Source organism: Homo sapiens, chromosome 18, assembly GCF_000001405.40.
Source record: "Homo sapiens chromosome 18, GRCh38.p14 Primary Assembly".
Classification (NCBI taxonomy): Eukaryota; Metazoa; Chordata; class Mammalia; order Primates; family Hominidae; genus Homo; species Homo sapiens.
In genome coordinates this window covers 63212083-63229937 of record NC_000018.10, presented here as the reverse complement: position 1 = coordinate 63229937, position 17855 = coordinate 63212083, and the positions used below count along the sequence as shown (strand labels likewise).

The 17855-nt window shown below is 41.4% G+C and overlaps 1 protein-coding gene across 2 annotated transcripts in view, besides 3 other annotated features; it reads left to right on the top strand.

Annotated features, from left to right (window-relative positions):
* BCL2 (BCL2 apoptosis regulator) overlaps positions 1–17855 on the top strand; it is a 196745-nt gene that overhangs the window by 90153 nt on the left and 88737 nt on the right. The gene's annotated exons all lie outside the window — the stretch shown is intronic.
* Positions 8748–9042: a silencer, noted in NCBI's record as "tiled region #13227; K562 Repressive DNase matched - State 9:DNaseU". NCBI's record gives its function as "represses a minimal TATA promoter and a strong SV40 promoter by Sharpr-MPRA in K562 cells {active_cell/tissue: K562}" and the evidence as "EXISTENCE:reporter gene assay evidence [ECO:0000049][PMID:27701403]".
* Positions 15342–15842: an enhancer, noted in NCBI's record as "H3K27ac hESC enhancer chr18:60881329-60881829 (GRCh37/hg19 assembly coordinates)". NCBI's record gives its function as "activates a minimal SCP1, AML or CMV promoter by ChIP-STARR-seq in naive H9 embryonic stem cells {active_cell/tissue: H9 hESC(naive)}" and the evidence as "EXISTENCE:reporter gene assay evidence [ECO:0000049][PMID:30033119]".
* Positions 15393–15622: an enhancer, noted in NCBI's record as "active region_13464". NCBI's record gives its function as "activates an Ori minimal core promoter by ATAC-STARR-seq in GM12878 lymphoblastoid cells {active_cell/tissue: GM12878}" and the evidence as "EXISTENCE:reporter gene assay evidence [ECO:0000049][PMID:35858748]".

Genomic DNA, 17855 nt, shown 5'->3' with positions numbered 1-17855 from the left:
CCACTATATGCTTCTGGCAGATCATGTGTGTTAAGGAATCACAAATGTGGTAAATGAAACAGCATATCCAAGGCACCCATCCTTGCAGGAGGATAAAGAAGATCCTCATGGATGTGACATTTTAGCTGAACAGGAGTAGGCCAAGAAATTCTTGCATTGCCATAGAGGAACACCGGAGACTGGGTAATTTATAAACAAAAGAGGTTTAATTGACTTACGGTTCTGCAGGCTGTACAGTCATGGTGCCAGAATCTGCTCAGCTTCTAGGAAAGCCACAGGGAGCTTTTACTCGTAGCAGAAGGTGAAATGGGTGCAGGCACATCACATAGCCAGAGAAGGAGTAAGAGAGAGGAGACGGGGAAGGTGCCAAACACTTTGAAACAACTAGATGTCATGAGAACTCACTATCACAAAGAAGACACCAAGGGGATAGTGCTAAACCATTCATGAGAAATCCAGACCCATGATCCAGTCACCTCCTCCTTCAGCATTGGGGATTATATTTCAATATGAGATTCGGGGGGACAAATACTCAAATATATCAGTTAATAACAGAGGACTTCATTCTAAATGCAAAGGCACACAATCACACCACCTAAATACCACTTTCCTGTATTCTATTTTCTTGCATATTTTTGACATTTTCATTGAATACCTCAATTTTTAAAATAATAAATTGAATACATGTAAAATGATTTTCTTCTATTTTTAATGTATTAAGTTCAATAGAGACATAAAAAATAAAATATAAATAAATAAATAAATAAAATCTCCCACTATAATTTTGAATTGTTACTTTCTTGTAGTTAATTCAATTTTTGCTGTAAATATTTGACACTGCGTCATGAGGCATACAAAAGGATTCTGGTGAATATATCTTCATATTAACAAGTGATCCTCTTTATCCCTCAAAATGCTTTTGGCTGTAGGCCGGGCGTGGTGGCTCATGCCTGTAATCCCAGCACTTTGGGAGGCAGAGGCGGGCAGATCACTCAAGGTCAGGAGTTAGAGACCATCCTCGCCAACATGGCGAAACCTTATCTCCACTAAAAATACAAAAAACCAGTTGAGCCTGGTGGCACATGCCTGTAGTCCCAGCTACTCGAGAGGCTGAGGCACAAGAATTACTTGAGCCCGGGAGGCGGAGGTTGCAGTAAGCGGAGATCATGCCACTGCACTCCAGCTGGGCGGCAGAACAAGATTCTGTCTCAAAAAAAAAAAAAAATTGCTTTTGGCTGTAAAGTCTGTTTTATCAGATCCGTTCATTTATTCATTCACTGATTCAATTAAAATAAACATTTATTGAACATTTATTGTTTTTAAGGAATGTCCTAAACACTGGAGATACAGTAGTGAACAAATGAGAAAGTCCCTACTCTCTTGGATCTGAGAGATCTTATATTTTATTTGGAGATCACAGATAATAAACAAACAAAATATATAATTTGTCAGGTGGTATAGTGCTATAAAGAAAAATAAGGCAAGGTGAGGTAGATAAAGTTATGCTGGGGGGTATAAAGTTATGCTGTTCTATATCATGTAGTCGTGGGCAGCTCTTGGATTAGTTGACACTTGAGCAGAGGCCTGAAGGAGCCACCTGATGTTTATATTGCTTATATAAACTGAATGTTTGTGTCCCACCAAAATTCATACGCAGAAGCTCCAACCTCTAATGTGATAATATTTGGAGATGAGGCCTTTGGGAAGTAATTAAAGTTACATTCTCTACTGTGTATTCCATGCTTATTGGGTGGAGTGTTCTCTTCCCATGTCATTAGGTCAGAACAGCAGGGCCCTCACAATGGCATTAGTGATCTTTTAAGAAAAAGAAGGAAGAGATTTTTCTTTCTGTATGTACACCTGAGGAAAGACCATGTGAGGACACAGCAAGAAGGCGGCCATCTGTAGGCCAAAAAGAGAGGCCTCACCAGAAATGAAATCAGCCAGCACCTTGATTTTGGACTTACCAGCCTCCAGAACTGTGAGAAGTAAACTTCTGCTGTTTAAGACACCTGGTCTGTGGCATTTTGGTATGACAGCCCAAGCTGATTTGTCTAATGACTATACCAAGTTCTTGTGAGCATTTCCCTATGGTATTGCTTTCTCTTCCTTTATGTTAATCCTTGTGTTTTAGGCTTCTTTCTTGTAAAGAGCTGGAGTTTTAAAAAATCCAATCTGAGGTTTTCTGTCTTCTAACAGGTTAAAGTCATTTATATTTATTATGATTACTCATATATTTGGAATTCACTAGGAGCCTGAATGTTTTCTATATACCATGCTACTTCTTTACTTGTTTTTTCTTCTTATTCTGCCTCACATTAAATTACTTGACTTTTTCTTACACTGTTTTCCACTGATTTGTAATGTATACATTTTGTCCTATTGTTTTGACAGTTGTTACCCTCAAACATTAAAAATTATATTTGAGAGCTGGGCGTGGTGGCTAACACCTGTAATCCCAGCACTTTGAGAGGCTGAGGCAGGCAGATTGCTTGAGTCCAGGAGTTTTGAGACTAGCCTGGGCAATACGGTGAAACCACGTCTCTACCAAAAATACAAAAAATTAGCCAGGCATGGCATGCACCTGTAGTCCCAGTTCAAATTCCTTCTTACTGAAGTACATCCTTGAATAGCTATTTCATTAAGGATTTGGGAATATTAAAGCATCTCAGTCTCTGACTGAAAGTATCTTTAATTCACTCTTGGTCTTGAATAATAATTTTTCTAGGTATAGAATTTTACATAGATATCTTCCCTCAGCATTTGAGTATATTATTTCATTACCTTTTGATTTGTGTAATTGATAAGGTGTAGTCTGCTTCAGGCTGTCATTTATTTAGAGGGTTCTCTCTCTCTCTCTCATATTGCTTTAAAATTTTTTTTTGTTTTTATCTTTGGTGATCTGCGGTTTCACCACAATCCTGCTTGGGATTCAAGACTAAGAATTCCTGACATTCACCGATTCTGAAAAATTTTGTCCTAGTCTCTGAATATTTTCTCTCCTCAGTCCTCTATTTATCTATCTGAGTCCTCTTTTATATGTATATTGGACCTTGTTATTCTCTTTTTCATGTCTCTGAATGTGTTTTTCAGATTTCTCATGTCTCTCTTTTTTGTGTTCTATTTTTTTCTTTAACATCTCCCTACCTTTTTTATTCCTGTCCCTCCAAGGTAACCAATGTTAACACTTGGTATGCATTCTTCTACATGTTTCTCCAAGCTCCTATAAACACATGCACATATATATTCATATATATCTTAAATAAGGGTGTTTTGTTACTGTTGTTTGCAAAAAAAATCCAATCATACAGCATGTATTTTTTCACAACTTGTTTTTCTCTCTTGATAGTACATGAAGGATAATCTCCAGATAAATGGATACAAATTTAATTCATTTTTAAAAATAGCTAAGTAAAATTCCATGTTATGGCTATATTATAGTTTATTCAACCTTCTCCCTATTAATGAGCATTCAGATTGTTTTCAGTTTTATGTCACTGATAGGGACAGGAGACAGGGAAATTCTGGGCAGAAGAGGGTGGGTCCCAGTGAGGGCCCCACCCTCAAGCTGAAAAGCCTGATACCATGGTCCAAAGGGAGAATTTACATCCCTGTTTTCCCACTCGAATGTTGCCTTTTCCAAAACCACCCATGGCCTGCCCTGCCTCCCATCCTGAGCCCATAAAAAATCCCTGGCTCCACTGGCAGAGAGAAGAGAAGCAGCTGGATGTTGAAGACTACAGTTGGACGTTGGAGAGAAGTGGCTTGAGTTCAGAGGGACAGTTTGACGGTGTAGCTTCAGACAGGAGTTTGGCCAGGGATGGCTGGACTTCAGGGGAAGATTACCTTCCATCCCCGTCCCCTTTTCAGCTCCCCTTCCTACTGAAAGCCACTTTCATTGGCAGTAAAATCCTCTGTATTTACCATCTTCAGTTTGTTTGTGCGACCTCATTTCTCCTGGACGCCGGACAAGAACTTGGGTGCCACAATGCAGGTGTAAAATGCTGTGTCACACTGACCGCCCCCACTGAGCTGTTAGCACTTAAGGCGTCCATGGATGGCAGAGCTAAAAGAGTACTGTAACCTGTCCTCTTGGGCTTCAGGGGTTGCAGGCACTGCTCCAGACGCTGCTGTGGGGCTGGTATGGAATTCGCTCCTTCCAGCACCCAAAAAGCACTCACCTGGCTCCTGCATCTACTCACCTGCGTGCTCCACCTCCGTGAGGGGTGGAGTGCAGCATGTCTTCATGAGTGGAGTTCACCCCTGCCAGTGCCAGAGTGGCTGGCAAGTTCCAGCGCCCATGCACTCCAGTTCCCACCCATGAAGCGTTCAGGGAAATAATCCTGCTTCATCACCACAAACATTGTGGCCATAAACATCCTTGTGCATATTTACTTATGTGCTGGTTCCTTAATTTCTGTGGAAGCCAATTCAATGCCACTTTACTTACCCCAGTCCCTATTCTCAAAGAATATAACTTTGTATATTTTAGCTTTTTCTTCTAGCATATATATGTCTCTGCATTTCTAAATAATGTATATACTGTTATCTTTTGTTTCATCAATTTTATGTATATCTTAACCTTATATTATAGTAGATAAAAATTTACCTGTCTGATATGATCATATCCACAGCTTCCTCTCCCCTCTTTCTCCCAGTGTAGTTATATTACAATTTGGGGGTAAATCAGCCCCTAGTGTTTTCACTATTTTGTCAAAATAAATGGCATTAACAGCTAAACCTTTAACAATGAAGTTAATATCTGTCTTTTTTTCATGTCCTTAATTGATCTTTGTACCTGGTACAGACTTTTCCTCTATCTTCCATAGGCTCACAGTACCTTTTTCCACAAAGCTGATCACATTAGTAATCTGTCAGTTCTCCTTCTTTTCTTGGTGATATCTCTGCTGGAGACCTACATTTTCCTTCTAGCTAGACTTCTCTCTCGGCCTGCTAGATAGCTGACATCCTGAGATTTGTCTTCACTGTTATTCTAGAACTTCCCTTTGCCTTTTCTTCTGTGTTGGATTCTCTCTCTTGTTTTACCCCATTGTTTGAGGAAGCACAGCCTCCAGCAGCTATCAGAATTAAAACCTGGTGCAGTGGTAACAGCCTTCATATGCCTTGCTCTTGGTCTGCTGGCCCTGTCTGGATGACTGGTCCTGTGGCTGAGCCAGTCATCATCCTGGGGTATCTCACTTCAGTGCCGTCATCCCTCTGTTGTGGTCCTGTGTTAGTTCTCATAAAACTCCCTTTACACTCTCTCATTTCTGTGGCTCCCAGCTTACAGTAGCCTATGGAAAATGGATCCCTGAGAGACACATTCACACTTCACATGTCTGAAATTGTCTTCATTCTGTTGTGTCACATGATGACTTGTCTGTCTTGTACGGGAAAATCCAGGTTAAAAAACAGTTTTCCCCAGAAGTTTGAAGATATTGCTTTATTGCACGCAATCTCCCAATGTTGCTATCAGAAAGCTGCCACTGTTCTGATTCTTGATGTTCTGTGCCTTACCTTATTTTTCTTTTCCCCTGGAACCTCTGATTTTTCCTGTCCCCCTATATTCTAAATTTCACGATGACTGTTCTAATTGTGGGTCTGTTTTCACCTGTTGTACTCAGTGATCATTGTGGTCTTTCAATCTGTCAAGACTGTGTTCTCTCTGTAAGCTGCTCTTTCTTTCCAGAACTTCTATTATTTGGGAGTTGAACTTCCTGGACAGTTTTGTGATTTTTTCATATTTTCTCACCTGTTTTCCATCTCTTTATCTTTTTTCACTCTTTTTGTACAATTTCTTTAACTTCAATTTCCAACCCATCTATTGGGTTCATTTCTGTTACCGTCTTAAGTTTCCTCTTTTCATCTATAAATAGTTTTTTAAGCATTCTGTTCTGTTTTCAGGATGTGTGTCATTCTCTTAGTTTTCTGCATTTTTTTTTCTTTTCAGAAATTGTCTTTGCCTCTCCTGGTCTCTGTCTCCTCCATGTTGTCTTTTTCAGTCTGTTTGTTTTGAACTCTGTCTTTCCTGTAGAGACTTTCCTTGCATGTCGGGCAGTCCTGATTGTCTGACCATATTTAAGAATGAATAACAGATGTATTGAAAGCTCTGAGGATGCGTGAGGGACTTGTCAACTCTGAGCATCACTGTAGAATAAAATGTTTCTGTCATAGGTTGGAGAACTCCTAATGCTAACAACTCCTAAAGTCTCCTAATGGGAAAACCAGGGAATGGTCAGATTCTCCAGAGAACACTCTTCCAGACTCCTGGCTGCAAGATGCCGCCCTGCCTGTCCCAGGCTGGGAGCTGAGATGAGGAATGAGACTGGAGGGTTCAGCCTTCAGCATGCATATTTCCTTTTATTTGATGTGTGGCATCTCCCAATTCCAAAATCCTCTCCCAGAGTTCAAACCTCCAGTATTAGCAGTTGTGATAAAGGCTGCTGCCTAGCAGGGTGGATTCAAGGAAAGGATCCAGGGATCTAACTGATTCTTAAACAGTTTCCCTCACATTCTTCTTTATTTATTTTTTTTTTTTGAAACGGAGTCTTGCTCTGTCGCCCAGGCTGGAGTGCAGTGACGCCATCTTGGCTCACTGCAAGCTCCGCCTCCCGGGTTCACACCATGCTCCTGCCTCAGCCTCCCAAGTAGCTGGGACTACAGGTGCCCGCCACCACGCCCGGCTAACTTTTTCTATTTTTAGTAGAGACGGGGTTTCACCTGTTAGCCAGGATGGTCTCAATCTCCTGACCTCGTGATCCGCCCACGTTGGCCTCCCAAAGTGCTGGGATTACAGGCGTGAGCCACCACGCCCTGCCCTGTTCTTCTTATTTTAGTGACTCATCTCCCTTCCGCACAGTTCCAGAGGTCACCGGTGCTATCTGTTCCTGAGCCTTTGGAGGATCCACTGGTTGTTCCTAACTTTCCTGCTCCTCACTGAGGATTCAGCTTCCTTTGTCTGTTAATTCTATCACTGCTTCTCCATCTGCTTTCCGTCTTCTAAAATCTTATTACTGTTATTTCTAAAATCTTGTTACTTGTTAAACCTACAACATACTAAACAATCCTGGAATTGGTTGTAAAAGGGTCATGGATTGCCAGAGATCAAAAGGTATTTAAAATCTCCTCTCCTATTGTCCTGGTGGTTTTATGTCTTTTAAAAGGTCATCTTCCCTCGTTACAGTGACGTTTCAGGTGAAAGCCATATTAGATACAGTGTGTTCAATTCTCCATTTTTGCTTGGAAGTCCTGTGTTACATTTTGGTTTAATTTTCTCAAGGCTGTCTTCCGGTTCACTGATGGCCTGTTTTGTGTTACTCTACTGTCTAACCTTTCCATTGAGTGATTACTAGGAGTTCTACTTTATTTTTTCAAATCTGCTTATTCTCTTTTTTTCATGTAATCCTAATTTTCTCCTTATGGCTTTTAGTCTTTATCACTATAATATTTTTAAACAATCTTATTTTGTACTCCATTTGAGATTGTATCTTTCCAGTTCTTAGGATTTAAAGTTTTTTTTTTCCCTTTATCACTGTCCCTCATGGCAGTTTATTTGTGTGTGTGTTGGGGGGTGATACTGGCAGTTCAACCTCAGATATTTTTCCTTTTCTTTGTTTCTTTTTTCTTTCTTTCTTTCTTTTTTCTTTTTCTTTTTTTTTTTTTTTGAGGTGGAGTCTCACTTAGTTGCCCAGGCTGGAGTGCAGTGGTGCGATCTCGGCTCACTGAAACCTCTGCCTCCCAAGTTCAGATATTACTCCTGCCTCAGTCTCCCTAGTAGCTGAGACTACAGGCATATGCCAGTATGCCTGGCTAATTTTTGTATTGAAATGGGATTTAGCCTTGTTGGCCAGGCTAGTTTTGAACTCCTGACCTCAAGTGATCTGCCTGCCTCAGCCTCCAAAAGTGCTGGGATTACAGGCATGTGCTGCCATGCCCGGCCTCTTTTCTATAGGAATCTTGTGAGTCCTGAGTTGTGAAATCGTTTCTACATAGTGGACATATGTTTGTCTTTTCTGGAGATCTAAGGACTTTCAATGATCCTAGAACTGTGTTTGTATTAATTTATTGTCATGGGATTCCCCTACTCAGATACACAGGTAGTATAAATTCCGATCTTACAACTGAAAGTGGTTCATGCTTAAGGTTCTGATTTCCCAAAGGTGTCCTGAGCTAGGGATACAAGGGAATGTTCTGCTCTTTATCTCTGAGGCAGTGGGCAGAGTGCTTTAGTCCACCTTTTCATGGTTAGGGTGACTTTTTGAGGCTTTGAGATTTAGGAAAGGGGCTCAGTTCTGGCCCCGCTACCTCATGCAAGACCAAGGTCATGTCCCTGCATGGGCATTAGAATCTCACCACTATTCCCAGGGCTTCGGGAGCATTTGCGAGAGTCTGAAACTTCCTTGAGCACTGTGTAGTCAGCCTTACATAAAAGCTCTGGCTTCAATTTTATCTTTATTTCTGGGGCCTCTGTTTCTCTCCCTTCCTCTATCCCCCTTTTCCTTCCTTTTTTCCCTTTTTTTCCCCCAAACTTAACTCTGTGATATTTTCTTGGGAATTTCACATCCTTGTAGTGGGAAGGGACCCATATGATTAACCTGTTGTTTGCCATTTTGCTGAAAATGAACACTCACATCTAATTTTGTGTTAAACCTGGAACATACTAAACAAACCTGGAATTGGTTGTAAAGGGTCATGGGTTGCCAGAGATCAAAAGGCATTTAAAGATCCGTTGTCCAACCCTAGCATTTTACTTAAGGAAACTGAGCCTCAACACTGATAAAACCACTTGCCCACAGACACGTGGCCAGTTAGTGGAAAAGGTGGGACTGACCTCAAAGAGTGGTCACTTTTATCTCACAGCATCACAAGGAGGAACATCTGACAGCACTTGCCAGGTTATCAAGACACCAAGATCCAATGCTTGTTGAGCCTTAAGTCACTGAGACATTTTGGAAAAGCCACATATACCATTTGTGTTTGTCTTGACTTGCTGTTGTGTTTTTCTCTTCTTGAATACAGAGTAGTAATGCTTGTTGAATTATTTAAGTGGCTTATTGCTGTGCCAGTTTGTTTGTTTTTCTACCTTTATTTTTTCAAAGAAAAACGCCTTTTTTTTTTTCTCCTTGAAGACATCTTTCAGGATCCATCACCTACCGGAAACCTTCCCTGAAGTCTGAAGCTCTTAGAGGGTTTTTCACCTTTTCTAGCTCCTTTTGAAATTGTCATTTGAACCATGTCATTAGCACCATATGATGAATTCATCTGATCCTCTTTAATTGTTGAATATGTATGTGCTTCATCTCCCCAAGATTGTAAGTGCTAGCTTGCAGAAACCATGGCTTATATATCTTTACCATTTTCCAAAGTGTTTTCCTGTGGATGAGTTGATGACGAAAAACCTAGAGGAAATATGTTCTTTTAGATAGAGCCTGAGTTTGGTGTCAGGAAGCCTGGATTCTGCCCCATTTCTCTGCTCCCTGGTAGACCTATGCAAACCACCGATGTTGTATGGAGAAACTACTGGTGTCTGACAATAGCACTGATACAGTGGTTGTAAAATTTTTCATGCAAGCTGGGACAGTTTTCAGAGTGAAAGGGGGCAATGGTAATAATTGTGCAGGGACAACAGGTATAAATTGGGACTTTCCCTAACATGCTGGGACAGACGGTCAACTTATGTTCTAGATCACCTTGAGCTCGTCAGAACTATTTGCACAGCTGCTCTTGATACCAGTCTTTCAAACAAAAAATTATCATCCCTTACAAAAGTTTTCATCCACGAGCCCAACTTTACAGGTAATAAAATTTTTAGTTTTTCCAGACATTCTTGTTTTTTCAGCTACTTCCATGGCTCCAAATGCGCATTATAACTGAAGTTAAACTAGATTGTAGATTTGAAGATTAGTACTGCTGAGTAACAAATGCCTTCATTCTTCTTTATCAACCACTCTGTCTTCTGGAAGGAAATAAAGGCCCCGATTTCTGGAGTTCTGAGCCTACTTTTCTTGGGTGCATTTTGAAACATACGGATTTTACCGCTAGTATATTCAGTGAGGAAGGAAGGCTTCTGAAGGATTGATGATCCCCAAACTGGATTATGTGTTCATGATAATGGTGTATTTGGTGGCCTAGCATAGTGAGGTGAGGTAGGTCTTTAAAATGGCTCATTATAAACATCATTGTTCCTGAGCTCACTTGCCCTTGCATCTCCTGCCAGAGTGCTTTGTACATAGTAGGCCCTCATCAATGCTTGTAGATTTTAAATTCGGAGGCACACTTGGAAGACAATGGTGGCTGGTAAATTAATTATCAGGGTTAGCAACTTCATTTCTGCTTACGCTTAAAAAGTGCTGCGTGAGGAGGCTGAGACAGGAGAATTGCTTGAACCAGGGAGGCAGAGGTTGCAGTGAGCTGAGATTGTGCCACTGTGTTCTACCCTGGGCGACAGAGCGAGAATCCGTCTCAAAAAAAAAAAAAAAAAAAAAAAGTTCTGCTGTGGTTGATACATGGTGTTGGAATGCAAAGAAAAATAGAGAAGATCCCTGCCCTCCAGAACTTTGTGACCTAGAGGCAACTTTAGAACCATAAGCCACTAAAATTTAGAAAGTTCAGGAGAAAGGACAATCACTTTTGACTTGGAGGAATGAGGTAGCACTTGAGCTAGGTTTGAAAAATAAGATTTTTCTCTAGGACTGAGGTGAGAGAAGGCTGTTCCACATGGTAGGAACAGCACAAACAAAAACCTGCAAGAGTAAAATTGCAAGCCATATTTGGAGAATCAGAAAAAGCCTGGTATGTTCAGAAGATAAGATTTAATGATGTTGGTTTGGGGAAGTTAGAAGTCCTTTAATGTCAAATGATGGAACTCAGGTTATGTTATATAGAAAATGGAGTCACATAAAGTGTTGGATGAGTGCAGTGATATCAACCAACTCATGCTTTAGAATGAGAACCTGGTTGCAGGGAGACCAGTTAAGAAGAGGCTTAGGTGTTCAGGAGAGATATAAAGGCAGGAGAAGAAAAAGGAGCCAGAAATGAGATTCAGAATTGGCAGTTGATTGAAGGAAGGGCCAAGGTGGAGAGAACAACCAAACACAATCCCAAGGGACAGAGTGGATGGGGATGAGTGGAGGGGGATGAGTAGATGGGGATGAGTGGAGGATGGGGATGAGTAGAGGGGGATGAGTGGAGGATGGAGATGAGTGGAGGATGGGGAGGAGTGGAGGATGGGGATGAGTGGAGAATGGGATGAGTGGAGGATGGGGATGACTGGAGGATGGGGATGAGTGGAGGATGGGATGAGTGGATGGGATGAGTGGAGGGGGATGAGTGGATGGTGGTGGAGAGACACAGAGAGGATCAGAATTTGATTGGCCAAGACTCTGGATTTCCAGGGAGGTTGTGGAGAGATAAGATGAAATAGTATGTGAAAGAACTTTGAACAATGCTTTGCATAAAGGAGATATTCAATGAACATTAAATTGAAAGAAAAAGGGAAGGAACGAAAGAAAAAAAAGAAAGGGAAGAAGGAGCTTTTCCCTTCTCTCTACCTCTCTGCTGTGCCCCAGTAGGGAGAGACATTGAGGGTTTTAGGAGATCTGGTGGGCATTTTTCCTGGGCTGTTCCTACCAATAGACTTGCTGCTGGTTTCATGTTAGTTAGGTGGCACACCAAGAGGGGACTCAGAAAGAACAGAAGATCAGAACTTGCTGGTGTCAGACAGAAAAGACATGAGCTTGAGCCACATTTGAAGAAAGAAAGAGAATTGGGTTGATGAAAAGGCCATACTGAGAATTATGGGAGTAGAAGTTGTGAAGGCAAGAAGGAAGACGGAAGAAAACACACCACCGATGCAGAGAAAGAGAAGGATGCTGACTGACCTTGGAGGCAGTTTCTGCATGTTCTGGGGCCTATCTTTCTATCCTTCCCTCTATCCCTCCCTTCCTTCCTTTTTTCCATTCTTCTATTTTTCTGAACTCAACTCTGTGACATTTTCTTGGGAATTTCACATCTTCGTAGTACAAGGAACCCATAGGACTAACCTATTGTTTGCCATTTTGCTTAAAGTGAACACTCAACGTCTAATTTTGTGTTAAACCTAGAACGTAGTAAACAAAACCTGGAATTGATTGTAAAGGGTCATGGATTGCCAGAGATCAAAAGGTTTCTAAAGATCACTTTGTCTAACCTTAGCATTTTACTTAAGGAAACTGAGGCTCAACACTGATAAAGCCATTTGCCCACAGACACGTGGCCAGTTAGTGGAAAAGCTGGGACTGAACTCAAAGGATGGTCACTCTTATTTCACAACATCATAAGGAGGAGGCCTGTCATTTGGCGGTCAGCACTTGCCAGGTTGTCAAGACAAGATTTGATGCTTTTGGGAAATGTGGGTGAACTATTGGGGATCATTGGAAGGAGAACGTTGCTTACCTTCTGACCAGCCTATCCTGAAACTCTGTTAGGAAAACCCTACTACTCTATGAAAACAAACCCAGTTTCTCCTCATTTTTTTCCTGACCATTGGGAATAACAGCAAGACAGTCCTTTTAGTGATTAGAAACCAAGTCACATTGACTTTTTCTGACAAGCCACTCCAGGATAACTCTCAATAAATTATTTTATTGGAAGTACTGGCTGGTACTTTGCCTTACAGAATGCCTTTCGGTTTCTTTGTCTTGGGCTTTGATTATTTGGTAAACATTTCAGTTTCATGATGACGTGGTGTTTAGATGGCAATGCATGAATTGCATTACTAAAATTGTTTGCCTTCAGTTATATTACATCTGCTTCAGGAATGCTAGAGAACATAAACACAGTTTATTTACTAAACTACCTCAGTTGGAGCATCTGAGAGAGAGAAAGCATAAAATCTGGTGGTTGGCATGGCGTCTCATCTCGAGTCAGAGAATCTTGAAGCTGGGAGGTTCTTTTGGAAGCCTCCTGCTGCCGCCTTCTTCAACGTGATGCCACCATCCTCCCCCTGAATGTGTCTAACAAAAGGCAGTTCTCAGAATGTGCCAACTGTTAGAAGAAGGAAAACCACAATTGAATAGAAACTTTTAAATTAATTTATCCTAACATGGATCGTAGATTTGTTATGTTGACTGCACTGCAAAACGAATCAAGCCAGAATCACATTGGAATCTTTTTTTGGTGTGCAAAATCCCAGTGTTTCTTTGAGGCAGTGCTTTCAGTGGTGCACGTCTCTCCTGTGCAGAGGAAGGCTCTTTACATCATCTTAGCACAGTGTCTTCCACTTCTGTGGTTTCTATCACTTCTATTGCCTTTTCCCTTGGTATTGTACCTTTCCTTGATATGGGTTCCAAGATGTAGCTGTACTTAAAGACTTGATGGTAAAAATAGGCCAGTCTCTAAAGCAATTACAGTTCTCTGTAATTTTTGGATCCTATCAACCAGCTTTGACATTTGGTTGAATGTGTTTTTGCAGACATCAGTGTAAACTTTACAGAGGGCCACTGAGCCTTAGCAGTTCTTCCTAAGCAAAGTTTCACTCATTCTTTTTTTTTTTTTTTTTAGAAAACATTTAAGGCCTCCTATGTTCCTTTCAGTGTTCGCTGTTTCTTCTTTATCTGGGGTCCTTACTGACTCACCTTGACGTTACTGATTCATAAATGGATTTTCATTTCTTTTGCTGGGGGTCAGCACTTTGATGATTATCCACTTCCACTTCCACTGTGTTATTTTTTACATAATATTTTTGTTCTGGTTACAAAAGCAAGATAGAATTTTTGCAGAAAAATCCGGAAAATAGAGAAAAGCAAACAGAAGAAAAAAAAATCACTCATAACCCACCACCAAAAACAAACAAACAAACAAAACCACAGCCCTATTGTTAATATGTTGATAGGCTCCTGTCTTTGCCTAGCACTTAGAACCCTCCTAGTCAGGTTCTAAATTAACTTTACAACCTCATCTCCCTGCTTGCACCTCCTCTGGGGACATACATTGCCTGGCATAAGACTTTTCATATTTCTCTCTCAATGAATTTTTTCTGATTATGTAAATAATTCATGTGGTTGTACATATTTCCAATAGTACCTATAAGGAAAATAAAGTAAAAATTATTTTTAAAAACATTTCACCTTATTAAAAAAAATCTCACCACCCTGAAATAAAAGCCATTGATATTTTGGGGACCATCTCACCACCATGTGTTTATGTCACCTCCACACACATGATTTCCCATAAATGAGATAGGAGCACCCATGCGGTTCTTATCATGGACACTTGCTTTCATTTTTCACTTATTTACTTTTTTCCTCTCATTCCCTTCCCTCCTTCCACTCTAATTCCTCTCTTCTAGATTGCCAGTGGCATCAGCCTTGTCTGTGTCCTTCCATACTTTATGCTTCTACAATCTTACCAAATGTTTTGTAGTCACAAATATATGTTGTGATTGTTTTTTATACAAATCAGATCATATCATATGTCCCTTTATGCATCTTTCTTTTTCTCATTTAACAGTGATAGATTGCTGAAATCCCTCTTTTGTTTTTTCATGACTGCGTACTATTCCTTGATTGACTGTAGCATGAATTATTGAATGTAGCTATGACAAATAATACTGTAATAAACATTTCTGTGCTTACAGGACGTGAGATGACTTGATTAAGAAAAGAATAGATTTTTAGATTGGAATAGACATTTCCAGATTGCTTTCTAAATGGCATGGTGATTCGTATTTCTACCAGCAAGTCTTTCTGTATCTTGCCAAGGGACGATGCCTCTAAATTGCAAGAAAGGGTGGGATGCCTTGTCCATTTGAAATCCAAAACATCAAGACAAATATGGGGCAATAATATGACCATCACAATAATATATATAAAAGAGAATTCATTAAGGGATGATTATCGCTTTCTAGAGTTGGGTTCTGGGGAAGTATTATTTATAGAAATGAGCCTTAGGAGGCCAGGCACACTGGCTCACGTCTGTAATCCCAGCATTTTGGGAGGCAGAGGCAGGTGGGTCACTTGAGGTCAGGAGTTTGAGACCAGCCTGGCCAACATGGTGAAACCCCATTTACTAAAAATACAAAAATTAGCTGGGCATGGTGGCACATGCCTGTAGTCCCAGCTACTTGGGGGGCTGAGGCATGAGAAACACTTGAAACCAGGAGGCGGAGGTTGCAGTGAGCCAAGATCGTGCCACTCCACTCCAGCCTGGGTGACAGAGTGAGCGTATGTCTCAAAAATAGATAAATAAATAAATAAATAAATAAAAAAGAAAAGAAATGAGCCTTAGGGCCCGAAATGTAATTTTATTTTTAGCATGATTTTTTTTTTTATTACCCGACAGTTTTTGATTAGTGTGGCAGCTAGAAATTTCCCTCCTGGTTTAATTTGCTTCTTTATAGTTTTTGTCAAAAGCTCAAATGGTACAACACATCACAGGTGACTTTTCAACATTTGAGTCAACCTTGAAAATACACAGATGGATGGATGTCAGGGTGAGACCTGACTTCAAGTTCCCATGAATGTGGTTTATATTTTAAACACTTTAAAAATAACTGTGTATGTCGTGGTGTCAGGAGTCAGGCAGGTGGAAGGGTTAGGCCTTCCAGGCCATCTTCCGAGCTGCACCGGACGTTTGTCTCACCTCCCCTACAGAGATGGTGGCACAGTCCAATCCCTTTTCCCTCCTCACTGGGTGTCCTCCTCCAATTCATGGATTGTCTGACACTTTCTGCACTCGTCCCTGCTGCTGGTGTCTGCTGGCACTTCCTGTCCTTCTTGCTTCCCATCTTCCTTGTCTGTTCTGCCCCTCTCCCTTCCATTTCTCCCGTATTTCTTAGCTTTATCACAAAAAGGCTTGGGCATCACAGCCATGGCCCACTCTTGAGATTGCATTTCTTGGCCAGCAAGCCCACCTGGCCTCATCATTTTGGCTGCAACTTCAAGGTCATCAGCCCATCTTAGCTCTGTTCATCCCTAAGTTTTCTGTGGATAGGCTTTCTATTTGACAGAGTGCTTCTCCCAGCCCCCTCTTAATTTCTTTATCTGACACTGTTTTTTGGGACCTAGAGGTCCCTGAGGGCCTGGGGCTTCCTTGTGCGTTGAGGTGGGCCCTGTAGATTCTGCCGTCGAGAGAACTCTGACCAGCCCGCTCTGAGAAAGAATGTCAAGTGGTCAGGGTCTCACCAAGCAAAGGGCCTCTATATGATAATGGTCCACAGAGCTGTCAGGAGAACAAATGGGGTAATCTGGAGTGTGATTTCATCATTCTTCAGTGCATTCTCAGTGCCGGGAAAAGTCATGAGTAGGGTTCTCGTTTTAACTCCTAAATTATGAACTTACTCACATTTGTGGATTAGACAATGCCTCAACATCATTTTCATAGTGTGTGTGTGTGTGTGTGTGTGTGTGTGTGTTTATGTGTGTGTGTGTGTGTGGTTTAATGTGTACAACTCATCTGAACCCAGTTGCTCTGTGGTTTATCTTTTACTGAGAACTGCTTTTTTTCTTCCTTTTCTAAGAAAATACTAGTTCTTAAAGTATGAAGTCTTTCTTGTGAGTTCATCAGCAGTGAGGGGTGTGGTGTGAGGACCTACATTGGTGATAATGAGATCCAACAATCACTGAATTCAGGCGATTTTGACACAAATCATATTGACTAAAATAATATTAAGCACGTGATGCTGGTGACATTTGAATATTTGCCAGGAAGAATACCTGCATGGTAACAATTGGCTGCAAATGGAAGAGATTTGCATGTTTTATTGTTTTTACAGTTTTAACATACATTTTTATTGGAGAATCTGAAACCAACCTATGTAGGGGAGGTTATGGGAGCAAAAGTAACACAGAGAACCAGCAGGAATCGGCCTACCTGCCTGCCTCTGTCCTCCTCTGCTCCTAAGAATTTGGGTCACCTCTGGCTTCAGCACTTAGTCCTAATCATGAACAACACATGAGTTAGGGGAAAGGTGTATTCACAAATTTGAAATTTCTTTATGTTTTTCCTCTCTCACATTCCTTTCCTGCAGTCTCTTTCCTACTTTTTCATCCTTTGTGTAAAGGTAGCAACTTTTTTTTTGTTTTTTGAGACAGAGTCTCGCTCCGTTGCCCAGGCTGGAGTGCAGCAGTGTGATCTCGGCTCACTGCAACCTCCGCCTTCTGGGTTCAAGTGATTCTCCTGCCTCAGCCTCCTGAGTAACTGGGACTACAGGCATGTGCCACTGTGACTGGCTAATTTTTTATATTTTTAGTAGAGACAGGATTTCACCATGTTGGCCAGGCTGCTCTCGAACTCCTGACCTCGTGATCCGCCCGCCTGGATCTCCCAAAGTGCTGGGATTACAGTTGTGAGCCACCGCACCCGGCCAAGGTAGCAACTTTTATTTGAGAAAGCTTGGAATCCTGACCTAAGCTCCCTGAGTTCCCACTGTGGCTTGTGGCCACCTATTGTGATACTCACTCTCTACCCTTGGTTTTCTGATCTCTAAAATGAGACTGTCTACTTCACGTGGCTGTTAAATGCATCATAATTTCCTTCCTTACCTCCCTTCTTTAAAGGAAACTTGGAATTTTCAAAGCTACTAAATGGAGTTTTTTTGTGTTTTTTTTGTTGTTGTTGTTTGTTTGTTTGTTTGAGACAGAGTCTCGCTCTGTCGCCCAGGCTGGAGTGCAGTGGCATGCTCTTGGCTCACTGCAACCTCTGCCTCCTGGGTTCAAGCAATTCTGTCTCGCCTCAGCCTCCCGAGTAGCTGGGACTACAGGCGCCCGCCACCACGCCCAGCTAATTTTTGTATTTTTAGTAGAGACGGGGTTTCACCATGTTGGCCAGGATGGTCTCGAACTCCTGACCTTGTGATCCACCTGCCTCAGCCTCCCAAA